Source organism: Homo sapiens, chromosome 3 (assembly GCF_000001405.40).
Source record: "Homo sapiens chromosome 3, GRCh38.p14 Primary Assembly".
NCBI lineage: Eukaryota > Metazoa > Chordata > Mammalia > Primates > Hominidae > Homo > Homo sapiens.
Genome location: NC_000003.12, coordinates 42,581,414 through 42,606,740, shown reverse-complemented (window position 1 = coordinate 42,606,740; position 25,327 = coordinate 42,581,414). Strand labels below are relative to the sequence as shown.

At 45.3% G+C, this 25,327-nt stretch overlaps 3 protein-coding genes across 19 annotated transcripts in view, besides 4 other annotated features; 1 reads left to right on the top strand and 2 right to left on the bottom strand.

Moving 5' to 3' along the window:
• NKTR (natural killer cell triggering receptor) overlaps positions 1 to 6,129 on the bottom strand; it is a 48,124-nt gene extending 41,995 nt beyond the window's left edge. For 8 of the 9 annotated variants that reach the window (NM_001349125.2, NM_001349126.2, NM_001349124.2 and 5 more), the window contains exons 1-2: positions 5,963 to 6,055; positions 5,677 to 5,757 (exon numbers count right to left, since the gene is read on the bottom strand). Coding sequence is in view for 7 of the 9 variants with exons in the window: in NM_001349124.2 (NP_001336053.1) it covers positions 5,677 to 5,734 (58 nt within the window). In the remaining 2 variants the exon portion in view is untranslated. Of the gene's footprint in view, positions 1 to 5,676; positions 5,758 to 5,962; positions 6,056 to 6,116 lie in introns of those variants that run through there. The other variant, XM_024453539.2, reaches the window with a different exon arrangement.
• Positions 5,663 to 25,327, top strand: part of SEC22C (SEC22 homolog C, vesicle trafficking protein) — a 53,110-nt gene continuing 33,445 nt past the window's right edge. For 3 of the 8 annotated variants that reach the window (NM_001201584.2, NM_004206.4, NM_032970.4), the window contains exon 1: positions 24,774 to 24,895. The gene's annotated coding sequence lies outside the window, so the exon portion shown is untranslated. Of the gene's footprint in view, positions 5,782 to 19,178; positions 19,331 to 24,442; positions 24,549 to 24,773; positions 24,896 to 25,327 lie in introns of those variants that run through there. The other 5 variants (XM_047449170.1, XM_047449168.1, XM_024453814.2 and 2 more) reach the window with 3 other exon arrangements.
• Positions 5,752 to 5,961: a silencer, noted in NCBI's record as "silent region_14246". NCBI's record gives its function as "represses an Ori minimal core promoter by ATAC-STARR-seq in GM12878 lymphoblastoid cells {active_cell/tissue: GM12878}" and the evidence as "EXISTENCE:reporter gene assay evidence [ECO:0000049][PMID:35858748]".
• SS18L2 (SS18 like 2) lies at positions 9,807 to 24,901 on the bottom strand. 2 transcript variants are annotated; one of them, NM_016305.4, is made up of 4 exons: positions 24,783 to 24,901; positions 15,775 to 15,932; positions 15,140 to 15,216; positions 9,807 to 12,319 (listed from the first exon to the last, which is right to left on the bottom strand). In NM_016305.4, the coding sequence occupies exons 2-4, from the start codon at positions 15,841 to 15,843 to the stop codon at positions 12,232 to 12,234; spliced, it is 234 nt and encodes a 77-aa protein (NP_057389.1). In that variant the 5' UTR covers positions 15,844 to 15,932; positions 24,783 to 24,901; the 3' UTR covers positions 9,807 to 12,231. The 2 variants fall into 2 exon arrangements, with proteins under 2 accessions (NP_057389.1, NP_001357229.1); NM_001370300.1 differs by lacking the exon at positions 24,783 to 24,901 and having other exon boundaries at positions 15,775 to 15,881.
• Positions 24,359 to 24,488: an enhancer, noted in NCBI's record as "active region_19746". NCBI's record gives its function as "activates an Ori minimal core promoter by ATAC-STARR-seq in GM12878 lymphoblastoid cells {active_cell/tissue: GM12878}" and the evidence as "EXISTENCE:reporter gene assay evidence [ECO:0000049][PMID:35858748]".
• Positions 24,481 to 25,307: an enhancer, noted in NCBI's record as "H3K27ac hESC enhancer chr3:42622926-42623752 (GRCh37/hg19 assembly coordinates)". NCBI's record gives its function as "activates a minimal SCP1, AML or CMV promoter by ChIP-STARR-seq in naive and primed H9 embryonic stem cells {active_cell/tissue: H9 hESC(naive and primed)}" and the evidence as "EXISTENCE:reporter gene assay evidence [ECO:0000049][PMID:30033119]".
• Positions 24,689 to 25,018: a silencer, noted in NCBI's record as "silent region_14245". NCBI's record gives its function as "represses an Ori minimal core promoter by ATAC-STARR-seq in GM12878 lymphoblastoid cells {active_cell/tissue: GM12878}" and the evidence as "EXISTENCE:reporter gene assay evidence [ECO:0000049][PMID:35858748]".

Genomic DNA, 25,327 nt, shown 5'->3' with positions numbered 1-25,327 from the left:
CCACTGTGCCTGGCCAAGAAAAAAATAAAAATTTAAAATAAAAGTAAAGACAAAATATTAAAAAATGTTAAAAAGTGATTACATAAAGATTAATTGGTGTTTAATAAAATAAACATTGCTGAATTAAGAATCAGGCTTCAATTCTTTGTACAAGTATACATACATAGGGAGTGAAAGCAAGAATTCAGGATTTCACTTTACAGCACTGTCTCTCGGACTTTAAGATACAATCTCTGGGAACAAAAGGGACCAAAATCAAAGGTCTACCTGCACAATACCTAAATATGAAAGCCCCTTAACTTGACTTAGTGTCCATACTCCTGCACATGCAATACTTAAAGCAACTTAAAAAAAAAATCAGATACTGTGCTATATATACTTAACAAATACAGACTGCTCTACAAGAACAGTGATAGAATTTTAAGAAACACTGCATTATCGAAAATCACATATAAAAATAACTATTTCCATATAAAAATGGGAACTGGGGGGGACAAGGGAGTTTCCAGTTGCAGTAAAAATATTTTTTTCTTTAGGAGTATCAATAATAAATTTTAGCTATAAGAGGACGTTATAAAATCTAAACATCATTGAGGAAACCCTACAACTGACCAAACCTCATTTCTGCCTCCATTCCCAGCACTGTCATTAGCACAGTGGCCTTCAAATCAGTTAGGACAAACAAGAATGACTCAGAGCAGCAGAGCTATCCAACTGTTCTCTCCCACGCCACTCTTCCCCACCTGCTTATCCGATTGTTATACCAAACAGTAGTGTGCCTAATTAAAATTGTGCTCCTTAATCCACCCTATTAGAGTAAGTTCATGTTACTCTAATACAATCTATAAGATGGCATTATTTAATTACTCTTCTCAACAATCTTGTTATGTAAGCACTATTACACTGGAGTCCTATTATTAGGTTAATAATATAACAGGTTAATGAGCATATACAGTGCAAGTCATTTAAATTTCAGGCCATTGCATCTAGTCACTCTACTCATGAGCTTATGACCCAGGGTGACCTTGAGAGCGGAGATGCATTTCTCCTATTCCCTCAGAACAAACCAGATCCCATATACCTCACTCGAAGTATGAGCTATTTTGAATGTGAGTCTAAAGTTTAGTTTAATTTTGAATATAAGCAAATTTTCCTGTCCTGTTAGCTTTGGAACCAAATTAAGAACAAAACTGTATAGTAGTTCCATTTCACAAAGAGGTTGTTAAACGGCTTGACCAAGGACACAAGTAGTACTCAAACATTTGCCTGAATCCTTTGTCGCCTCTTAAGACTAATTTCTTGGTATCACTTCTAAATACTTTACAATGTTTGCTAAAAACACATTTTCCAGTCTGTTTTTATGAATCTTAAGCAGTAAAGCAAATCTAAACATAACTAATTATATTAAATGTATACAGTTAAACATACTGACTAAAAGACATTGTCAGAGTGGGACAAGACCCATCTATTTGCTATCCAGAAGAAATCCACTTTAAATATTATACAGAAAGGTTAAAAGTAAAAGGATTGAAAATGATATACCATGTAAACACTAATAAAACGGAAGTAACTATATTCATATCTGAGGCAAAGGAAACTTCAGAGCCAGGAAAGTTACTAGGAATATAAGGTGTCATTACATAATAATAAAAGAGTTCACTAAGAAGACAACAATCCTAAATATGTATGTACCCACCTAAGAGCCTCAAAATGAATGATGCAAAAACTAAGAGAACTTAAAAGAGAAATACGGCCGGGCATGATGGCTCATGCCTGTAATCCCAGCACTTCGAGAGGCCGAGGCAGGTGGATTGCTTGGGCCCAGGAGTTCAAGACCAGCCTGGGCATCATGAAGAAACCCTGTCTCTACTAAAAATACAAAAAATTAGCCAGGCATGGTAGCTCACACCTGTAGTCCCAGCTACTGGGGAGGCAGAGGCACGAGAATCACTTGAACCAGGAAGGCAGAGGGTGTGGTGAGCCAAGATCATGCCACTGCACTCCAGCATTCCAGCCTGGGCGACAGAGCAAGACTCAGTCTCAAAAAAAAAAAAAAAAAAAAAAAAAAAAAAAAAAAAAAAGGAGAGAAATAGATAAATCCACAATTACAGTTGTTATAGTTGCAGACTTCAATACTCTTCTCCTGGTAATCAATAAACAAGTAGAAAATCAGCAAAGATATAAAAGAATTGACCAACACTAATAGCCAACTGGATTTGACATTTATAGAACACACTACACAAAAATGTACATTCAAGTGCAGAATGTACATTCAAGTGCACAAAGAACGGAAATCATGTGTGTTCTCTAGCCATAATGGAATTAAATTAAAAGTCATTTGAGACTGTCTCAAAAAAAAAAGGTATCAAATCAACAATCTATGCTTCAACATTAAGAAACTAGAAAAAGAACAAAATAAAAATTGAAGCAAGCATTAGAAAGAAAGAGAACAATGAAATTGAAAACAAAAATAGAAACAAAATTCAATCAGATCAAAATCTGGTTCTCTGAAAATGTATAATGAATAAACCTCTCGTCAGACTGACAAAGGAAAAAGACAAAAGGAAGAATTATCAATATCAGGAATGAAAAGAGACACCACTACAGACCCCACAGATATTAAAAGAGGCTGTGACAAACAACTCTAAGCACATAAACTTGACAACTTAGATAAAATGCACCAATTTCTTTAATAAAAACCACAGGCTAGGCACCGTGGCTCACACCTGTAATTCTAGCACTTTCGGAGGCCGAGGTGGGCGGATCACTTGAGGTCAGGAGTTCAGACCAGCCTGGCCAACATGATGAAACCCTGTCTCTAATAAAAATACAAAAAAATTAGCCAGGGGTGGTGGCACATGCCTGTAATCCCAGCTACTAGGGAGGCTGAGGCAGGAGAATCGCTTGAACCTGGGAGGCGGAGGTTGCACTGAGCCGAGATGGCACCACTGCACTCCAGCCTGGGTGAAAAAGTGAGACTTCGCCTCAAAAAAAAAAAAAAAAAAAAAGTTGTGTAAAATCCACTATTTAGTTAATATACTCAAAAAGTGCTAGTTATTTCACAAGACTGAACCATATGAAATTTCCAACTATCAAATGATTAAACCTAGAACAATGTAAGCATTGCATTTCCTTGTTTTATATGATTCGGCGTTCTCAAGAGTGCTAATCACATCTACACATCTATCACAATGAATTGCCTTGGATGTTGAGGAATGAGGTTCATTGAACATTTGTCAAACATATTCTGGAGATTTTTCACAACACAGGTTATGTGCAAATCTAGGATCTGAACATTTACTAGGAAAGGAGTACTTAACTACAGAAATTTTTATTTGTACTTTTTCTTAAGCTGTTTTTTTTTTTTTTTTTTTTTTTTTAGAAACAAGATCTTGCTCTGTTGACCAAGCTGGAGTGCAGTGGTGCAATCATAGCTCATGGCAGCCTTAAACTCCTGAGCTCAAGCCATCCTCCCACCTCACCCTTCCAAGTACAGGTGAGCACCACCATGCCTGGCTAATTAAAAAAAAATTGTTTTTTGTAGACAGGGTCTTGCTATATTGCCCAGGCTGGTCTCAAACTCCTGGGTTCAAGCAATCCTCCTGCCTGGGCCTCCCTAAGTACTGGGATTACTGGTATGAGCCACCATGCTTGGTCATACTTCTACTCTTCAGCAATCTACTATTTTTCTTTTCTTTTCTTTTTTTTTTTTTTTGAGACAGGGTCTCACTCCGTCACCCAGGCTGACATGCAGTGGTATAATCTCTACTCACTGCAACCTCTGCTTCCCAGGCTCAAGCAGTCCTTCAGTCTCAGCCTCCCAAATAGCTGGGACTACAGGCAAAAACTAAGAGAGCCACCATGCCCAGCTAATTTTTTTATTTTTTGTAGAGATGGGGTTTCGCCATGTAGGCCAGGCTGGTCTCGAACTCCTGACCTCAAAATGATACACCCGCGTCTGCCTCCCAAAGTGCTGGGATTACAGGCGTGAGCTATTTTTAATTCTTAATAGAAAATAACCCTGTTATCTAAAGCATGGATTCACTACAAAATAAAGATTAAGGTCCATCAAGGCTTTCTAGTAACACTTATTTAAAAAAAAAAAAAAAAAAGATCAATCAAGGCTAAAAACATTAAAAAGAGAGAGAAGGCAACCAAATTTCCAGGATTATCTCATCCCTTTGCTCGAAACCCTTTAATATCTTCCTACCTCACTGAGTCAGTCCTACAGGCCATTTCTTACTATTCTCTTTCCTCTTCTACTCCAGCCACACTGGGCACCCTGCTGTCCCTCAAACATGCAAGTACAGTCCTCCATTGTTTAATAACCAGGACGGATTCTGAGAAATGTGTAATTAGGCAATTTCGTCATTGTGTGAACATCATGGAATGTATTTAAACACACCTAGATGGTACGGCCTACTACACACCTAAGCTATATAGTCTATTTGCTCCTAGGCTACAAACCTGTACAGGATGTTACTCCACTGAATACCGTAGGCAACTTTAACACAATGAAGTATTTGTATATCTAAACACAGCTAAACATTAAAAAGTTACCAAAAAAAGGTATTATATATAAGACCATTGTTAAAGATAGAAATGTCATTTGGCGCCTGACTGTATACTACTCCTCACCTCAGGGCTGTGCTGTTTCCCTCTACCACGAATGCTCTTCTTAAATACGGCTCACTTCATCTCCTTCTGATACCTGCTTAAATCTCATCTTCTCAAAATGGCCTTGTCTGACCAACTTATTAAAATAGTATCCCAACTACAAGTCACTGTTATTTTTTTCCTAGTTGTCCGTCTTCCCCCCAATAGAATATAAACTATAAAAGGAAGAGGCCTTTGTTTTATGCGCTGCTCTATCTCCAGACCCTAGAACAGTAGCAGGCTCTCATAAGAATATGCAGAACAAGATGTTGCACAAAGACAACACATATATATATGTCTCCAATTAAAACTTTTGTCACGGATAACAAAAAAAGCTAAGAAAACAGTTTGAAACCCTGCACGCTCTGCTACTTAGAATGAAATAACTATGCTTTAGAAGGAAATGTTTCATTTAAAAAAAATACACTAACAAATGTCTGGATTCCCTAAAGACAAACATTAATGCTAAGTGCATGCATGCTGCAATTCTGCTGGTACAAAATGCTCTGGTTTATCACAAAAGATCTTCACTAAGCCATTTTCCCAGGAACCACGAAATTCTAGCTAAAGATTCTTAAGGAAAAATAGAGGCAAAATTAACATATTAGTGATATATCGTGATTAGGAAACACACAATATTTCCTACTAGTTGAAACTTCATAGCACCAAGCAAGATAACCGGAAATCGGATCGGGAGTGTCTGCCTCACGGAGACACTGGGAGAGAAAAAGTCCTCAAAGAACTGCACCTCCTTTTCTTGGCGCCAGGCTGGCTACGAGGACTCAGTCCGGAGATGCAGCGGGGTGTGTGGGGTTTGGCAGGAAGAGGCCCGGACTGCGAGTTAGGGGTGTGCCCAGGCCACCTTCCTCTCCCACTGATTTTCTCTCAAGAGAAAACGGAAAGTTGCCTGCGCCTCCTACCCGCTCCCAAAAAGGCCGGGGGAGGGTTGCTGAGGGTAGACCCCTCCCCTTCGCCAAGGCAGGCCTCGGCCCCAGCAGCGCTCCCCAGTTTCCAGCTCACCCGGCTCCCGGTTGATCTCGATGTCGAAGTGGCACTGCGGCCGGTCCTGCGCCCCCATCGCGACCGAGGTGGCGGCAAGAGCTGGGAGAGAGGGGGAGAAAAGCGGTCAGGGCAGGGGCGAGGGCGGGGGCGAGGGCAGGGGCGAGGGCGGGGCTGAGACGAAGTCCGCGCCACGGTGCCTCACGCCGGCCCGTCGCGACAGCGCAGGAGGCCAAGACGAGGCCCCCTCCCGCCCCGGGCCTCGCGGCTCCCACGCAGCGCGCACGCATGCGGGCGAGCTCTTCACCTGGCTGGCCTCCAGCCTGAGCGGGTCCCCGTGAGCAGAAGAGAAAGCACTGCCACTGCAGCCAAACCCCAACGCCGCTAACGGAACGCCGTCTCCTCCCCCAGGCCGGGCCTCCCAATGCCACGCTAAACCCCGCGAGAGTCGGGACAAATACCGCGAGAGTACAGTCTAGATGGGGGTGGTCAACCGAAGGTGGCGGCAGCGGGGGCGTACGCACGGGGGCGTACGCACGGGGGCGTGTCTGGGGAGCTCTCGAGGAGCCTCCAGCCAGCGCTCCTATACCTGCGCGTTCCCTGTTTGCCCCCCCCTTTGAAGTCAGTCGCCCAATCTGAAAGCCGTGGATGCGCCTGCGCCCTCCATCTCGTCAGGTGTGGCTGTGAGCGCCGCGCATTTTCCGATACCGCGAGACTTCTCTGTTTCCGAGCGCTGTGAAGGAACTGAGTGAATTGAGGCTTTGAGTTTTCGTTAGCCAAGACGTTGTGTTGCTCTGTGTTCTTTTTGGCCGGGAGTGGTTATGTCCGTGTCCTACTGTTAGGTCTTTTAGGCTGAAGAATGCGTTCCTTCCCGCTTTGGCACCAGCGTCACTGGCACCGTTTTTGTCCTGTGCTTACTGACCATTCTGCATCTTTTGTGAAGTTTCAGTTCCAGTCTTCTGCCCGTTTTTAAATCTGGTCCTTCGTGTTTAACAGTTCTGGATACAAATGTTTTGTTAGATATATGTATGCTCTGAATGAAAATCTTTTGTTACATAAATGATTGCGAAGTCTTTTTCCCAATCTGGGCCTGTCGTTTCATTGTTTTGACGTTTTTGGCAAAGAAGTTTTTAATTCTGATTAAGTCAATTGGTCAGTTTTATATTTTAATGGTTTGTGCTTTTCCTGTGCTAGGAAATCTCTGCCTACCTCAAGTTCTTGAAGATATTCTGTGTTCTCATATATGTTTTACATAGTCTTTAACGTGTAAGTCTATGATATGATCTAATATCATTAATTTTTGCTTATGTTGTCAAGTAAGTGTCAACATTTTCCTATTGGGATATACAGTCGTTCCATTACCGTTTGTTGAAAAGACTCTTTTTTTTTTTTTTGAGACGGAGTCTCGCTCTGTCGCCCAGGCTGGAGTGCAGTGGCGGGATCTCGGCTCACTGCAAGCTCCGCCTCCCGGGTTCACGCCATTCTCCTGCCTCAGCCTCCCAAGTAGCTGGGACTACAGGCGCCCGCCACTACGCCCGGCTAATTTTTTGTATTTTTAGTAGAGACGGGGTTTCACCGTTTTAGCCGGGATGGTCTCGATCTCCTGACCTCGTGATCCGCCCGCCTCGGCCTCCCAAAGTGCTGGGATTACAGGCGTGAGCCACCGCGCCCGGCCTGAAAAGACTCTTATACATTGAATTACCTTCGCCTTGTGACCATATATGTGTGGGTCTGTTTCTGGATTTTTGTTCCAATGATCTGTGTCTGAGTACCACACTATTTTATAAGTTTTTTTTTTAAACTATAAAATACACATTACATGGGCGGGCGTGGTGGCTCATGCCTGTAATCCCAGCACTTTGGGAGGCCGAGGCAGGCGGATCACGAGGTCAGGAGATCGAGACCATCCTGGCTAACACGGTGAAACCCTTTCTCTACTAAAAATACAAAAAATTAGCCGGGCGTGGTGGCGGTCGCCCGTAGTCCCAGCTACTCGGGAGGCTGAGGCAGAAGAATGGCGTGAACCTGGGAGGCAGAGCTTGCAGTGAGCCGAGATCGGTCCACTGCATTCCAGCCTGGGTGACAGAGCGAGACTCCGTCTCAAACAAAAAAAATCTATCTATAGATCTATAGATCTACAGATATCTAGATATCTATAGATCTATAGATATATATACACATTATGTGAAAGTTGCCATTTTAACCATTTTTAAGTGTACAGTTCGCTGGCATTAACTGTATTTCACACGGTTGTACAACCCTCAGTACCTCCCATCCGTCCACAGAACATTTTCCATCTTGCAAAACTGAAACTCTGTATTATTAAACAGTAACTCCCCATTTCCCTCTTTTCCCAAGTTCCTGGCAGCCACCCTTCTACTTTCTCTCTGTAAATTTGTCTACTCTAGTATTTGTCTACTCATATGTGAGTAAAATCATGTAATATTTGTTCTTGTAGGCTAGGTGCGGTGGCTCACACCTGTAATCCCTGCACTCTGGGAGGCTGAGGCGGGTGGATCACATGAGGTCAGGAGTTCGAGACCAGCCTGGCCAACATGATGAAACGCCGTCTCTACTAAAAATACAAAAAATTAGCAGGGCGTGGTGGCAGGCACCTGTAATCCCAGCTACTCAGGAGGCTGACGCAGGAGAATCACTTGAACCCGGGAGGCAGAGATTGCAGTGAGCCGAGATTGCGCCACTGCACTCCAGCCTGGGTGACAGTGCGAGACTCTGTCTCAAAAAAAAAAAAAAAAAAATTTGTTCTTTTGTAGCTGGGTGATTTCACTCAGCATGTCTTCCATTTCATCCATGTTGTAGCATGTCAGAATTTCCTTTTTTGAGGCTGAATAATATTCCATTGTATGTGTATATCATATTTTGTCTATCCATTCATATGTCAGTGGATATTTAGATTGCTTCTACCTTTTGGCTGTTGTAAATAGTACTGTTATGAATGTGGGTGTACAAATACCTCTTTGAAACCTGCTTTCAATTATTTTGGATATATGCCCAGAAATGGAATCACTGGATCATAAGCTAATTCCATTTAAGATTTTTCCAGGAATTACCATACTGTTTTCCATAGCTGCACTATTTTACATTTCCATCAGCAGTGCACAAAGTTTCCAATTTTTCCACATCATCACCAACACTTGTTATTTTTTGGTTTTCTTTATTGCCATCCTAATGGATGTGAAGTGGCACACTGTTTTAATTAATGTAGTTTTATAGTAAATTTGGAAATTGGGCTCACTTAGATTGGGTGTCCAATCTTTTGGTTTACCTGGGCCACATTGGAAGAATAATTGTCTTCAGCCATACATAAAATACACTAACACTAACAATAGCCAATGAGCTTAAAATTGCAACAAAATCTCATATTTCTTGAAAGTTTATGAGTTTGTGTTGGGCTGCACCCAAAGTTGTCCTGGGCCACATGTGGCCCCTGGGTGGCGGGTTGGACAAGCTTGACTTAGATCATTTCTGACCTGTTTCTGCACCTATGTCACCTTTTTTTTTTTTTTTTTGAGACAAAGTCTCGCTCCGTCGCCCAGGTTGGAGTGCAGTGGCACGATCTTGGCTCACTGCAACCTCTGCCTCCTGAGATCAAGCGATTCCCCTGCCTCAGCCTCCAGTGTAGCTGAGACTACAGGCACACGCCACCACACCTGGCTAATTTTTTTGTATTTTTAGTAGAGACAGGGTTTCACCATGTTGGTCAGGCTGGTCTCGATCTCCTGACCTTGTGATCTGCCCGCGTTGGCCTCCCAAAGTGCTGGGATTACAGGCATGAGTCACTGCACCCAGCCGTCCATGTCACCTTTTTAAAGTACAGTCAAACCTTTGGTACTTCCACACCATCACAGAAGTGCTGTCCTTTGTTAGAGCTTGCCCATTCTACCTCCCTGAGAGTCCAGTGTGTCTATTAGAGGAGCAGTCTGTAGGCTGAATTGAGAAGCTAGCGGTCTTGGGTCTGATTTTGCTGACAATTACAGACTTGAACAGTATGAAATGTACATGCCTTTCTGGAGATGAAATAGTTTGATAAAGCTAACTTTCATACATGGATTCATGAAAGGAAAGGATGGAGACCATTACCCAGCTTTGTAATTACCGTGTTTAGGACATCAGGCTTCAATGTAAATAGGTTTTAGAGCTCAGGAATGAAATATTTAATTTGGGATATACTTAAACAACTTTAAACCTAGAATTCATTCTTATCTTGACATTCCAGCAATTCTCTTCTTTCTGCCACTGGTTATGTGACCTGAGACAAATCACTTTGATCTCTCTGAAGTTTACTTTCTTCATCTGTAAAATAAATGAGATAAAATATCTCCTTTCTAAGGTTCTGCCTCTCTCAAAGATTATTTTATTCTGTCTTGTGATTTGAAATTATATTTTAGATGATTCGAAGATAAAAGTATGCAATTTGGTCTGTGATTAAGGTGAAGAAACTCCTGGGACAAGGCAGGCCTAGGGCTAGTATCAACCAAAATGACTGACACCTCCTCCATCTCTTCCAAGAGTGGTAGAAAGTTGGTATCCAAAGAGTTTACAAACTCAGGCTTAATTTGTCCATGATTTATCATGAAGAAGAACCACTGGTAGTACGAATTTTCAGGTAATGATTCTGGGGTTCAGCCTTTTAGAGTGTGATTATGCCAGCAATTAGAACTTCAGGGGATAGGACTCTGGAAAACCATCAGGAATGCTAGTGGGGAAACAGACAAAATAATTTTCTAGAAAACAGAAATGATCGGCTGGGCGCGGTGGCTTACGCCTGTAATCCCAGCACTCTAGGAGGCTGAGGCAGGTGGATCACCTGAGGTCGTGAGTACGAGACCAGCCTGACCAACATGGAGAAACCCCGTCTCTACTAAAAATACCAAAATTAGCCAGGCATGGTGCCACATGCCTGTAATCCCAGCTACTTGGGAGGCTGAGGCAGGAGAATCACTTGAACCCAGGAGGTAGAGGTTGCAGTGAGCCAAAATTGCACCACTGCACTCCGACAGAGCGAGATTCCGTCTCAAAAAAAAACAAAAACAAAAACAAAACAAAACAAAACCAAAAAAAAGAAGAAAAAGAAAAAAGAAAGAGCCAGAGCCCTCAGCACATTAGTGCTAACATAGATTAACATGTGCCCAGTTCTCAACCACGTTATCTCAGTCTCACAACCTCAGGAGGCAGATGCTATTTTCATTATCCTCACTTTAGAGGTGAGGAAACAGAGCTTTCAGAGGTTAAGGGATAGAGCTGGGATTCAAAATGAGTTATCTCTTCACTATTTACATGTATTTTACAGTTGCCCTAGGTTGCAACCCTTGACTCCAAAAAAAGGAGCAGGGACCTGGGCTTCTAATTTTGGATATACTTACAAGAATCCCTTTGCCTCATCTTTCAGATAAATCTCCAAGAGTGAAAGTTTTTTATAGAATACAGCTAATAAAGTCAGAAAGAATGATAAATTAGAAAATCCTCATTATGTAATCCCTAATGAATTACCACATCAAAGCTGGGTGGATCATAATTTAAGTGAAAGGCTGGTTGGGAACTTAAAAGTCAGGTCACTCCTTATGTGATGCAAAAGCAAGTACTTATCACCTTCTAATATATTCCTGCTAAAAATATTAGAACATGAGTCTGCATGAGCCTCTAGATCTACTAGTTTACAGGAAAAGTGGATGATAGTGGCACATAATTAACAACACTACAGAGATACAACTGTATGTAGAACACGAGAGAATTCTAGGGTAAACACCTAGTTATTTCAACAAATAAAGAAAAAAAGGAACTATTAAGTATTCTTTAAGTGACTTAAAGGAACATCAACAAAATACAACATGTGAATCTTATTTGGATTCTGGTTCAGACAAATCAACAAAAAGACTATCTGATAACTGAAGAAAATTAAACATCATCTATTATCAGATGATATTAGATAATAATTAGAAATCACTATTCATTTTGTTGGCAATGATAATAGTATTGTTTTTATATACTTTATGGTTAAGTCCTCACAGTTATTCTTGAAAACCAAATGGAATACTTATTACATGAAAACTTCTATACCTCCACATCAGTATTTTATAGAAAAATAAGCTTTATTTCAAAGCAATCTGAAAACAGCAGTCAGGGGGACCACATTTACAAACTGATAGGAAGGAGCACACAGTTACATGTCCATTTAGCAAGGTATCAAGTCAGGAATCTCACCAATTCCTGCCCAACACCTACTGAGTTTCCTCTTCAGGTTGAAACTAAAAAGTAGACTTGAACATCCCAGTGATGTCTTTGTTATCCAAACATGCTCCAAGTTCAGGAAAGAGGACACCTGGGCTCAACTTATTGAGGGATTTGCTTAATTATTTAAAAAATATTTACATGAGAATACAGCTAAGTTAGTAGCTTTCTTCACATTTTCACGTTTCGAAAGAGCCACAGAGGTTTCATTCATGTTTTAACCAGTTGAGTTGGTAAAGACCCTGTCTCCATTTTGTAAGAGATGGATTACATTCAATTACTCCTCACGACAGCCAAATGGAAGATTATTCTATTGCTTTTGAAAGATTATTCCATTGCTTTTGAAGTGCTGGTTGGACTGGCATCTGCAATGGTAGCCAAATAAATGAGATTTCTATGTAACACATGCTGGTACCTATGGGCAAAAAAACAGGCAAAAATCAGAGGCTTGTTTTTACCGACCATGAACAAAAAACTGGAAAATAATTTACCCACTCTAGTGGAATGGCTCATCCACTGACTGGATGATTCAGTGTTATCAACCTTCTTGTTTAACATATTTAAGGAAAATATAGTCAGATTCTCACCCATTCTTACTGATTACTTTCATAGCTACTATCATTTCTTGCTTGAACTATTGCAGTAGACACCTAGTCTCCCAGATCTATCTTTGCGCACCTACTTTATTCTCCACATAACAGCCTGAGAGATTACTGTACAATTTAAATCAAAATCATGTTATATGTCTATTCAAAACCTTCCAAAGGCTCCCATCTCATTCAGGTAAAGGTGAGCTGTTCTTGTGTCCTAATAAGGCCCTACATGATGGGGGCCTCCAGTCCCCCTCTGATCTCACCTCTTATGGCTATACCTTTGTTCACTGAATACTGGCCACAGTGGCCTCCTTCTGTGACTTGAAGATATCCGGCACACTCCTACTAGGGGGCTTTTCCACCTGATGCTTTCTCTGTCTTACTTATCTCACTATGCCTTACTACTGCATAGCTGGCTCCCTTACCCCAGGTCTCTACTCAAATATCACCTTATCAGACATACCATGTATAAAATAGCACTCCTCCCCCCACTTACTCTGCTTTATTCTTATTCAAAGCACTTATTATTATGTGCCTAATTATACATTTCCTTATAGATTCTAGAGTCTAGAATGTCAGCTCTGTGAGTGCAGAGCTGGTATCTGTTTTACTATGGATTTCCCAGAGTCTGAAACAGTGCCTGGTACCAGGAGTACAATTGTCCCTTGGTATCCACAGAGGATTGGTTCCAGGACACCTCCCTCCTCCCCTTAGATATCAAAATCTGAGGATGCTCGAGCTCAAGTCCCTTATAAAAAATGGCATAGTATTTGTATATAACCTACACACAGCCTTCCATATCATATACTTTAATTTATTTATTTATTGAGACGGAGTCTTGCTCTGTCACCCAGGCTAGAGTGCAGTGGCGTGATCTTGGCTCACTGCAACCTCCACCTCCTGGGTTCAAGCAATTCTCCTGCCTCGGCCTCCCAAGTAGCTGGGATTACAGGCACACACCACGCCTGGCTAATTTTTGTATTTTTAGTTTTTAGTAGAGATGGGGTTTTGCCATGTTGGCCAGGCTGGTATTGAACTCCTGACCTCAGATGATCTGCCCGCCTCAGCCTCCCACTGTAATGCCACAGTACTGGGATTACAGGGATGAGCCACCACACCTGGCTCACAGTTTAAATAATCTCTAGATTACTTATAATAACTAATACAACTTAAATGCCATATAAATAGTTGTTATACTGTATTTTTTTTATTGTTGTGTTGCTATTTTTCATTGTTTTGTGCTCCCCAATATTTTTGAAATGCAATGCAGAACCCATGGATACAGAGGACCAACTGTACTTATAAAATATCTGTTCAACAACTTCAAGAAGGGACAAAACATTTTCATGATCAACATAAGTTTACGGTGGGGGGGGTAGAGTTCTTCACCCAAAAAAATAAATCAGACAAGGGCTCAGAAAGCATGGCCTGTGCAATTGAAAAACCCCACTAGGAGATTTTGATAACTTTCTTACCCTTGGGTTGAGAATTACTGTACCAAATGGAATGTTTTGCAACCATTTTTCATATAGAAAAAGGAGAAGGTATTTACCATAAACTTTTAAAAATCAAATTACCAAATGCCAGAGTCAGATGTAAAGATTTACCCAAAAACTGATATCTCTACTATTCTATTAAGGTATTCAGTGAGGGACTGTAGGTAATTTTTCTAGGGGGTAGGGATTGTGAAACATTTCTTCAGTAACAATGAAATAATATATTTTTCTATAAGAAATGGGCATAAGGTCGGCCGTGGTGGCTCATGCCTGTAATTCCAACACTTTGGGAGGTCGAGGTGGGTGGATCATCTGAGGTCAGGAGTTTGAGACCAGTCTGGCCAACATGGTGAAACCCTGTCTCTACTACAAATATAAAAATTAGCAGGGCGTGGTGGCACACGCCTGTAGTCCCAGCTACTCAGAGGCTGAGGCACGAGAATTGCTTGAACCTCAGAGGTGGAGGTTGCAGTGAGCCGAGATTGCACCACTGCACTCCAGCCTGGGTGACAGAGGGAGACTGTCTCAAAAAGAAAAAAAAAAAGAAAAGAAAAAAATGGGCGTAATACCTGGACTAGATTCGGAAAAGAGACTCAGACTCTATTTTCTCTCATTTTGGTATCTACTTAGGGAGTGCATTAAATTATTATGCACAATTTACCTTTGACTTAACTTGTAAATCCTTTGTTTGTCTTTGTGTGTGTGTCACTAACAGACTGACGGGAAGTTAGAAATGAGAGGAAGCTTAGCAGTCAAATGGCCTGACCCCTTCACTTAACAGAGAAAGGATGAGGCAGGGATCCAAGATGAGAAAGGGGCCATGGCTCTAATCTCCTGAGCTTAGTTTTCTGTGTGCTCTCACCCCCATCCCTGTTGTCATCAGCCGGCATAGCTTTGAGTGAAGGAGGCTTTGCAGTGAGAATAATTCACATTTTGAAGAAAGAGCCACGTCTGACTCCAGGCTCCGCAGTGTACTCGTTGTATGGTCTTGGGCAGGTTGGCAAACTCTTTGAGCCTCTCTTTCCTCAGTTCAAAGAGGGGCTTAACTGCGATCAATCACCCAAGACTCTTAGTTCGAGAAAGCACCGCATCACACAGGCTTCCCCTCTACCCACAGGTCAGGGGCGCGGGGGTGGGGGTACTTACTGCACGCACTCGTTCCCGCGGCCCTTGTTCTGATACTCCACAATACAGCGGATCAGCTGGTCATTCTCCTCAAGGAGCTGAAAGATCAGAGAAAGAAAGGGTCAGTGCAGGCCGGGCGCAGTGGCTCACGCCTGTAACCCCGGCCCTTTGGGAGGCCGATCTAGGCGGATCACGAGGTCAGGAGTTCGAGACTAGCCTGGCCAACATGGGGAAACCCCATACTAAAAATACAAAAATTAGCCGGGAGTGGCGTCGCGCTCCTGTAATCCCAGCTACTCAGGAGGCTGAGGCAGGAGACTCGCTTGAAGCCAGGAAGCGGTGGTTTCAGTGAGCCAAGATGCACCACTGCACTCCAGCCTGGGCGACAGAGCGGGACTCCGTCTCAAAAAAAAAAAAAAAAGGAGAGAAAGGGTTAGTGCAGTGTGACGTCTGGACGGCGGGGGACCGAACCCCATGCCGGGGTCCTGCCCCGGCGCCTGTGCTGATTTCGTGCCCATCTCACCCCGCACCCCGGCTGCTCAGCACCCTTCACAGTCAGCTGGGAGGCCGCTCACTACAGGATGCTTCTCGCACCCCGCAGCCCCTCGGGATCCCGACTTCTCTCCGCCCGCCCGCCCGCCCGCGTGGATGCTCACCCGCTGGATAGTCTCTTGATTGACTTCCGCCTTGCCCCTCAGCCAGTCCGGTACGAAGGCCACCGACATCCCGAGGAACCTCCGGAACCACGACCGCCAAGCAACTCGACCCACGATAGGTGGGGCCTACGCTCTCGAAGTTGATTGGATGCTCCCGCCTACAGGGCGGGGTACAGAAGGGACGTCATTTGTGACTGGACGCGCAAGAGCTATACTCAGCGCTTTCCTCGGTCCCAGCCCCCAGAACGCCGGGGGCGTTTTCGTATCCTTTGCGCTTGCGCAGTCTGGAGAGCGAAACTTGTGGGTTGGGGCTGGGTCTACTGCTGACCTACCTGGCGTCAGCACCTCCAGTGTTAGGCTGTGCATGCTTTTTTTTTTTTTGAGATGGAGTCTCGCTCTGTCGCCCAGGCTGGAGTGCAGTGGCGCATCTCAGCTCACTGCAAGCTCCGCCTCCTGGGACTACAGGCGCCCGCCACCACGCCCGTCTAATTTTTTGTATTAGTAGAGACGGGGTTTCACCATATTAGCCAGGATGGTCTCGGTCTCCTGACCTCGTGATCCGCCCGCCTCGGCCTCCCAAAGTGCTGGGTGTGCATACTCAATCTATCTGCAGGAGCGGTTTGCTCGGCTTCACCCAGCGTGTCTGGCACCCAGATACATGGCTTCAGATCCATTGTCCTCTCTACATCACTCTGTGCCTCCAGGTCTGCATCTGGAGCATGAACATTGGCTATGGCATTGTCTCCTGCCAGGCCAAATCTGCAGGCCAGGAAAACTCTGGTATTAGCTTTACTCTTTGCTGAACGAGAAATTCGCGTTTTTCCACATAGCCTGGACTTATTTGGGGCAGGAATAATGCTTATTAGGTTGGCAACCCTAAAAAGCACTGGTATTTTCTCCATTTTACAGATGACGAAACAGGTTAAGTAACTTGCCCAAGGTTCCTTAGCAAAGCCAGTCTCTGAATACGGGCAGCCTGGCTTTAGAACTCTCACCCTTAACAACCCGGGACTGCCCAGGCACCATACCGCAAAGGTGTTGTGCCGCAAGATGCAAGGAGGAAGCTGGACATACCTTCTTGGGCCACATGGTTACTCCTGGTGACCACTGCAACTGAATTGGTTGTAGTCTTCTAGACCAGTGGTCCCCAGCCTTTTTGGCACCAGGAATTGGTTTCGTGGAAGACAATTTTTCTTGTCTTCCACGGAGGTGGGGGTGGTTTTGGTATGAAACTCTTTTACCTCACATCAGCAGGCATTAGATTCTCATTAGGAGCGCGCAACCTAGATCTCTTGCAAGTCCAGTTCACAATAGGGTTCACGCTCCTGTGAGAATCTAATGCTCCCGCTGATCCTAATGCCCCCGCTGATCTGAGGGGGCAGAATGCTCGGCGGTAATGCTTATCCGCCCTCTGCTCACCTCCTGCTATGCGGTACCGGTCCCCTGTTCTAGCCATCCGTGGTGGATGTGGTAACAAGATTCGTTTTCCCTGGAGTGAGCAGCGGCCACTTCATTTAGGAGGGAGATCTTGGGAACCTACACTCCTAAAAAGGGGAGGTCCCTAGAGCTTTATTCCCCTGAGTGGTGGCCCTGATCCTGAGCAAGCTCATCTGCTTTACTGGGCTTTCTCTCCACAATCCCTTTATTCAAACCTGTGAAAAGGCAGCTTTCATCCCATTTCTTTTTTCTTTTTTTTTTGAGACAGAGTCTCGCTCTGTCACCCAGGCTGGAGTGCAGTGGTGTGATCTCGGCTCACTGCAACCTCTGCCTCCCGGGTTCAAGCGATTCTCCTGCCTCAGCCTGCTGAGTAGCTGGAATTACAGGTGCCTGCCACCACACCCGGCTAATTTTTTTTTTTGTATCTTTAGTAGACATGGGGTTTCACCATATTGGTCAGGCTAGTCTTGAACTCCTGACCTCGTGATCCGCCCGCTTCGGCCTCCAAAAGTGCTGGGATTACAGGTGTGAGCTACTGTGCCCGGCCTGCTTTCATCCCATTTCACAGAGAGGTAAACCCGGTGAGAGAAGTGAGGTAACACCTGAGCTGGGGCGGACTCAGGGCTTCCTGGTTACCAAGCCTGCACTGTTAACTCCACATCAGGCTTCCTCCTCAGGAAAATTCCCCAAAGCTTTCAGAGACACAGAGTGGGCAGAAAAGGAAACATCAGGAGCAGGATACAGGTCTTCCGTAGTTCCACTCAGCCCTATTCCTGTTTAGACAAGTGAGGAATGACAATAACATGAGATGGTCCAGACAACAATCCTCCCACCTGTGAAAGCTTCCCTGGGATTATGGGCATGAACCACCATGCCCGGCCTATACTTTTGTTCATAAAGTTTAAGTGACTTGCTTACCAATCTTATGCAAAATTTCATGTAATTTATATAATACTATATAACATAATGCTACATATGGTATGTATATATACACACAAAGATCTGTCCTGGGTATTAAGTATCTTACCTGTAGGCTTTATGTTTATGGCTCTGAAATGGAGGGAACTGGGACATACATGTTTTGAGGAATAAAGTGAAGGGGTTTTTTTGTTGTTGTTGTTTTTTGATACAAAGTCTTATTCTGTTGCCCAAGCTGGAGTGCATTGGTGCAATCTCAGCTCACTGTAACCTCCACCTCCCAGGTTCAAGCAATTCTCCTGCCTCAGCCTCCCGAGTAGTCTGGGACTACAGGCATAAGCCACCATGCCCAGCTAATTTTTTTGTATTTTTAGTAGAGATGGGGTTTCTCTATGTTGGCCAGGCTGGTCTTGAACTCCTGACCTCATGATCTGTCTGCCTCGGCCTCCCAAAGTGCTGGGATTACAGGCGTGAGCCACCGTGCCTGGCCCCGGTTTTTGTTGTTGTTGTTGTTATTGTTGTTTTTGTTTTTGTTTTTTTGAGACAGTTTCACTCTTGTTGCCCAGGCTGGAGTGCAATGGTGCAATCTCGGCTCACTGCAACCTCCACCTCCGGGGTTCCAGCAATTCTCCTGCCTCAGCCTCCCAAGTGGCCAGGATTACAGGCATGCACCACCACGCCCAGCTAATTTTGTGTTTTTGGTAGAGATGGGGGTTTTTACCATGTTGGTCAGGCTGGTCTTGAACTCCTGACCTCAGGTGAACCACCCACCTCAGCCTCCCAAAATGCTAAGATTACAGGTGTGAGCCACAGAGCCTGGCCTAAAGCGAAGGTTTTGAGTGAGGTTTATATAAGGATTTGATTTTTTTTTTTTTTGAGACGGAGTCTCGCTCTGTCGCCCAGGCTGGAGTGCTGTGGCACGATCTCGGCTCACTGCAAGCTCCGCCTCCCAGGTTCATGCCATTCTCCTGCCTCAGCTTCCCCAGTAGCTGGGACTACAGGCGCTCGCCATCACGCCCGGCTAATTTTTTGTATTTTTTTTTTTTCAGTAGAGACGGGGTTCCACTGTGTTAGCCAGGATGGTCTCGATTTCCTGACCTCGTGATCCGCCTGCCTCGGCCTCCCAAAGTGCTGGGATTACAGGCGTGAGCCACCGCACCTGGACTGATTGGTTTTTTAACATCATTAAAGTTTCTATCAGGTAAAAAAAAATGAGATGGTGTTAGGGTGAGGCAGGTGTTATAGGGGACCAACCTGTTCCAGCATACAGGGAAAGACCTCCAGAAGAAAAGGTTTATAAAGGCAGTATAAAGGCAAAGTGGAGGTTAAGCAGGACACAGGTGTCCAGATTCTGTACTCTCCTAGGAGTAATGGGAGCCATGGATGGTTTTAGGCAGAAGAATGATGAAGCCTGAGATGCATTTAGAGTTTTATTGGCTGTAACATGGTGAAAGTTAGGGAAGACGCCCAGATGAGAAACAAAAAGAACAGTGACAAGGCTGCTACAAGCATGCAGGCCAGAGATAGTGGGAGCAATGAGAAAAGAAGTGTGTGCATTTGAAAGACATTAGAAGTAGATTTGGCAGGCCTTAGTGATCAAGTGGGGAGGGAAAGAAAAGGGAAATTAGGGATGCCTTCTGGGGTTCTGGGTTAAGCAACTGAGAAACTGGTGATGCCCCTTATGTAGGCAGGGAACAGTGGGGGAGATGCTGGAATGGAAATGAAGGTGATATATTCAGTTGTGGAAATGTACAGTGTGAGGTGATGTCAAACGATGTTGAGGCTTGTGGCTATTTGGGGCTGAAACTCAGGGACAAAGGCTAGGTTGGAGATACAGCTTTGAGAAACATCACTTGTAGAAACTGACTGGAACTATGTAGTGGATAAGACTGCCTAAGGAGAATGTGATAGTTTCTCTTATGGCAGAGGAAAAGAAGCTGCAATGGAGACTGAGGGGAGAAAGAGACTAGAGATATAGGAAGAGGAAAACCAGGAGAGTGGGGGTTATGGCTTTTTTTTTTTTTTTAAACAGTGACTGAAAAGGACATACAGGACAGCAATGACAAATGCTGTTGAAAGGTCAAGGAAGGGGTGGGTGCAGTGGCTCACACCTGTAATGCCAGCACTTTGGGAGGCCGAGGTAGGCAGATCACTTGAGGTCAGGAGTTTGAGACCAGCCTGGCTAACATGTTGAAACCCTGTCTCTACTAAAAATACAAAAATTAGCCAGGCATGGTGGCACAGGCCTGTAGTCCCAGCTACTTGGGAGGCTGAGGCTGGAGGATCACTTGAATCCGGCAGGCAGAGGTTGCAGTAAGCCTCAGTGCCATTGCACTCCAGCCTGGGTGACAGAGCGAGACTCTGTCTCAACAACAACAACAAAAGAACAAGGAAGAATAAAGACTAGGTCTTTGAGGAGGGCATTTTCAGTGATATGGTGAAACAGGTATCAGAACTGCAGGGGACTGAGAAATAATGAAAGGTGAAGGTGAAGCAATGGAGTGTTCACATATAGACCACTTTTTCCATGAGGTTTGGTTGTAAAGGGGAGAGGGGAAAGAAGGTGGTAGCTGGAAGGAGAGGAGTTGTCTGGAGCTAAGGGACATCACTTTGATGGTTGCTCTTTCTTCAGTAACGGAGGTTCCTGGGAGAGCAAGCGGGGGAGGGGGGGTTGAAGAGTGGGAGATCTGGGGAGCATGCAGGATATTTGGAAGTTGATTTTGGGGGAGAGCTGGAGAGAGAGCTGCCTTGGCAAATAGGAGCGCTGAAAGGTGTTGAGGACCTAGTTGAAGTTGACAATGTATGTAGCACTGATCTGTGTGGTTGTGAGATTTTGTCCAGCAGCACTTAGAGCCAAGAAGCAGATTCAGAGAAGACAGAAGGTTGGATTCTTCCAGGATTGTAGTGCTGCCAGATGGGTGTTACTATCCTTCTAGTTATGCCAGAAAGATAACTGTGCAAGGAATATAAGTATATTGGGAAGAATGTGATGGAGGTGATAAACCCTGAACTCTCAGCTGATGGGGAAGGAAATGAAGACTCGATGGAGCTTATAAATAAAACAAAGTAGAGGGACAAATGAACTGGAAGTTTCTGCAGGCTAGAGAAACCATGAAAGGAATTCAGAGAATAGCAGAAGGACAGATGAAAGATCAGGTGTCTGCATTTATAACTTCAGAGGTGGAGCTCTTCTGTGGTCCAGGGTGTTACCCTAGGAGTGGAGGACTGAAGAGGACTGGAAGAGAAAGACTCTGGAGTTGACTGTGAACCTGGAGCCAAAGTGAACAATGATTGGAGATGAGAGCTAGGACTTTAGGTACTACATCTCACCCCTGTTGTCCAATCTACCATGGTGCCTGAACCACACCAGTTGCACCAGTCAGAGAGTGTAAGGTCCTGTTCTAAAGCACTCGCACCACAAGTTTTGAGAGCCCAATTCCCCATATTTGTTTGTTTGTTTTGTTTTGTTTTGTTTGTTTTTTGAGATGGAGTTTCGCTCTTGTAGGTCAGGCTGGAGTGCAATGGTGCGATCTCGGCTTACTGCAGCCTCCTCCTCCCAGGTTCAAGTGATTCTCCTGCCTCAGCCTCCCAAGTAGCTGGGATCACAGATGTCCACCATCACGCCCGGCTAATTTTTGTAATTTTTCAATAGAGACGGGGTTTTGCCATGTTGGACAGGCTGGTCCCTGACCTCGTGATCCACCCACCTTGGCCTCCCAAAGTGCTGGGATTATAGGTGTGAGCCACCACACCTGGCCCCAATTCCCCATATTTGAAGAGCACTTATGCTACAGGGTTTTCAATTGCCTTTACCAACCCTGAATCTCCTGGTTTTTCTCCTTCTTTGTGCCTGTTATGACCTACCCTCATTATCAGAGACTCATTGTGGGAGGGGACTACACAAGGGTATAAATCCCAGGAGGTGGTGAACCCTGGAGGCTATCTTAGACTGTATCACAATTCTCTTCAGTTTTCATTTTGTAATTTTTCTCTGGCTATGTAAGCCCCACTTCGATTTCCGCCCATATGATGCTGACTTTCAAAAGTCTATGTCCCGGCTAGGCGTGGTGGCTCACGCCTGTAATCCCAGCACTTAGGGAGGCCAAGGCGGGCAGATCACTTGAGGCCAGGATTTCGAGACCAAACTGGCCAATATGGTGAAACCCCCATCTCTACTAAAAATACAAAAATTAGCTGGGCGTGTTGGCAGATGCTTGTAATCCCAGCTACTTGGGAGGCTGAGGCAGAAGAATCACTTGAGCCTGGGAGGCGCAGGTTGCAGTGGGCCGAGATTGTGCCACTAAACTCCAACCTAGGCCACAGAGTGAGACTCAGCCTCAAAAAAAGTCTGTGTTCAGCCCAGACCTCTACATTGACCTGCAACCTGTATATGCACCTGCTGTGTTGACATCTGTATTAGTCAAGGTTCTCCAGAGAGAGAGAACCAATGTGATATCTATATATCTACAATATAGATCTATATCTATAGATATATGGGAGGGGATTTATTAGGGGAACTGGCTCACATAGTTATGGAGGCTGAGAAGTCCCACAATAGACCATCTACAAGCTGGAGAACCAGGGAGGCTGGTAGACTGCTTCAGTTCAAGACTACCCTGTCTTAGACTTGGCCTCAGAACCAGGGAAGCTGAATGGTGTATCTCCCAGTCCAAGGCCCAAGCCGGGAGAACCTGGGGAACCACTGGTACAAGTCTTGGAGTCCAAAGGCTCAATACTTGCTAAATGAATAAATGGACGGACTCTACTACCTAATCTCCTAGAGTTAGGAGATTAGGGGAACGGGGAATTCTGATGCCAAGGGCAGAAGAGGGGTGTCCCAACTCCAGAGTAGAGAATTTGCCTTTCCTCTGCCTTTTTGTTCTATTATGTGGTGCCTGCGCATATTAGATGAGGACAGATCTTCCTTACTCAGTCCATTGACTTAAATGCCAATATCTTCTGGGAACACCCTCATAGACATACCCAGAAGTAATGTTCCCCCAGCTACCTGAGTATCCCTTAACCTAGTCAGGTTGACATCTAAAACTAATCATCGCAAAATCCTAACCAAGTCTCAAAGGTGCCTCAAATTCAACTTGTCTAAGATGGAGCTCAAGATCAATCTTATCTCCTCTTCCAGTGTTCTCCATATCTGTGAATCCCTGCACCATCCATCCATTTATCCAAGGCTGAACAGTGGCATCATCCTTGAAGCTGCTTCATCGCCCCTTCACATCCAACTCATCACCAAGTCCTATTGATTTTGCTCCTACATTTCTCTGCAGCCTTCTTAGATCTCTTTTTCTTCACTCTCACCCTAGTCCACACTCCAGCTCCATTCTCTCTTGCCCAGATGACTGCACTGGCTCCCAGGCCAGTCCCACCATAGCTCTGTTGAGACTTCTCCATTTTGATCTGCACTTTAGCAGCCAAAGTGAGTTTTATAAAATGCAATTTTGACCAGTGTTCTATGGTCCTAAACTTTCCACTATGGTCCATAAAATCCTACATGGTCCTGCCCCTTCTATTCGCTCTAGTGGATCTCACTCCACTCCTTTATTCTCTAAACTCTGAGTTTCTTTTCTTTTTGTGGTAAAATGTACATAACCATTTTTAAGTGTGCAGATCTGTGGCATTTGGTACATTCACATTGTTGTGTGATCATCACTACTATCCATTTCCAGAACTGTTTCATCTTCTCCAGCTGAAATTCTGTACCTATTAAGCACTAACTTTCCATTTCCCCCTTTCTGGGTTTCTTTTCATCCCTCAAAGGAGCTCTGCTGCCTTCCACAGAGTTCTTATATACATGCTAATCTCTCCATCTGAAACACACTTCCTCTCCCCTTTGCCTAGTTAGCCTCCTGTGATTCCCAACACCAGCCTAGAAGCTTCTGTAAATTCTCCCAAAACCCCTGCTCCTCCCTGAAGAGCAGTTTGTATTTATACAGGTGTTTGATTGTTTGAAGGGTGCTCTCACCCTGCCTCCTCTCTTAACATAGTTTTTCGTGTCAGGAATTCCTCGCTTTGTCCACAACCCCTGGCACATAGCAGGTGCTCAATACTTGCTAAATGAATAAATGGACGGACTCTGCTACCTACCTAATCTCCTTCCAGCCAGTCATCCATCTGTGGGTGCCTCGGTCCCCAGCTTGGGGTGTGTCCCCCTGGGTCGGACTTTGGCGCCCCATCCAGGCTGGCAGTAGGTTGTGCTCTTTGGTTTGCCTATCTCGGGCCTCCCGCCCAGCCGCGCGGACCGCAGAACATACGCCCCGGGCGTTATCACTCTGTCACGCGGAGCCTCCCCGCCTCCAGACGTCAGTCCGGTTGCTACCCCGGCAGGAATCGAGCTTAGATCACGAAGGCTCCTTCTCACCTCCGGACGTGAGAATTACAGGCTTGGATCTCAAACCGCCGCGGTGAGAGCCGGGAGGTGGGAAGAAAGTTGGGAGGCGCGCGCCCCCGTCACACTCCCTCTCCGTTTGGGTCGCAGCCCTTTAAGAACCACTACGTTCGCGCCTTCGCCGGGACGGGGGCTGTGGAGGCGCGCCGGGATTGGTCGGTTTGGGTGCGGGTGTCGCTTAGCAGCAGCGAATGCGGGGTAGGGGGGAGGTGGGGTGGCTCAAGACTCGCGCACGCGCACCACGGCCTACCTGCGCCTGGGCTGCCGGTGACCTGGGCCGAGCCCTCCCGGTCGGCTAAGATTGCTGAGGAGGCGGCGGGTAGCTGGCAGGCGCCGACTTCCGAAGGCCGCCGTCCGGGCGAGGTGAGGGCTGGCGGGCGGAGGCGGGTGCCGCGGCCCGTTAGCCAAGAGCAGGCGGGTTAGGGTGTGGCGCAGGGCGGGCCCAGAGGTGGAGGCGGCCCAGGGCCCACCCGGCCCTCAGTCCCGGCCTTGACCATGGGGCTCCCCACGGGGCTTCACTGGGCTTCTTGGAGTCCTCTGTCCCCTTTCTCCCGTCAGCCTGTTCCCGGACCCCGGGGCCACCCAAGGCACGCGCCTGCAGGAACCCTGGGCTGACAGATGGGCGCCAAGGGCTTCTCCCAGTTGGAAGAGATGGGGAGTGAGAAAGGGGACGATTGTTTCTTTAACCATTCACGAAGCTCACGTCAGAGCATTGTTTAATCTGAATAGCAAACTTCCCTTAGCATGCCCGTGTTATTAGACTTTAAATATTGGATACACTGAACCAACTTTTCA

What these genes read in the sequence shown, in the direction of transcription:
- SS18L2 (NM_016305.4), bottom strand. Translation starts at nt 15,843, where the DNA reads ATGTCGGTGGCCTTCGTACCGGACTGGCTGAGGGGCAAGGCGGAAGTC. An exon ending in ATCAAGAGACTATCCAGCGG is followed by an intron (nt 15,217 to 15,774) that starts GTGAGCATCCAC and finishes CTGATCTTTCAG; the next exon opens with CTCCTTGAGGAGAATGACCA. An exon ending in CGCGGGAACGAGTGCGTGCA is followed by an intron (nt 12,320 to 15,139) that starts GTAAGTACCCCC and finishes TTTTGCCCATAG; the next exon opens with GTACCAGCATGTGTTACATA.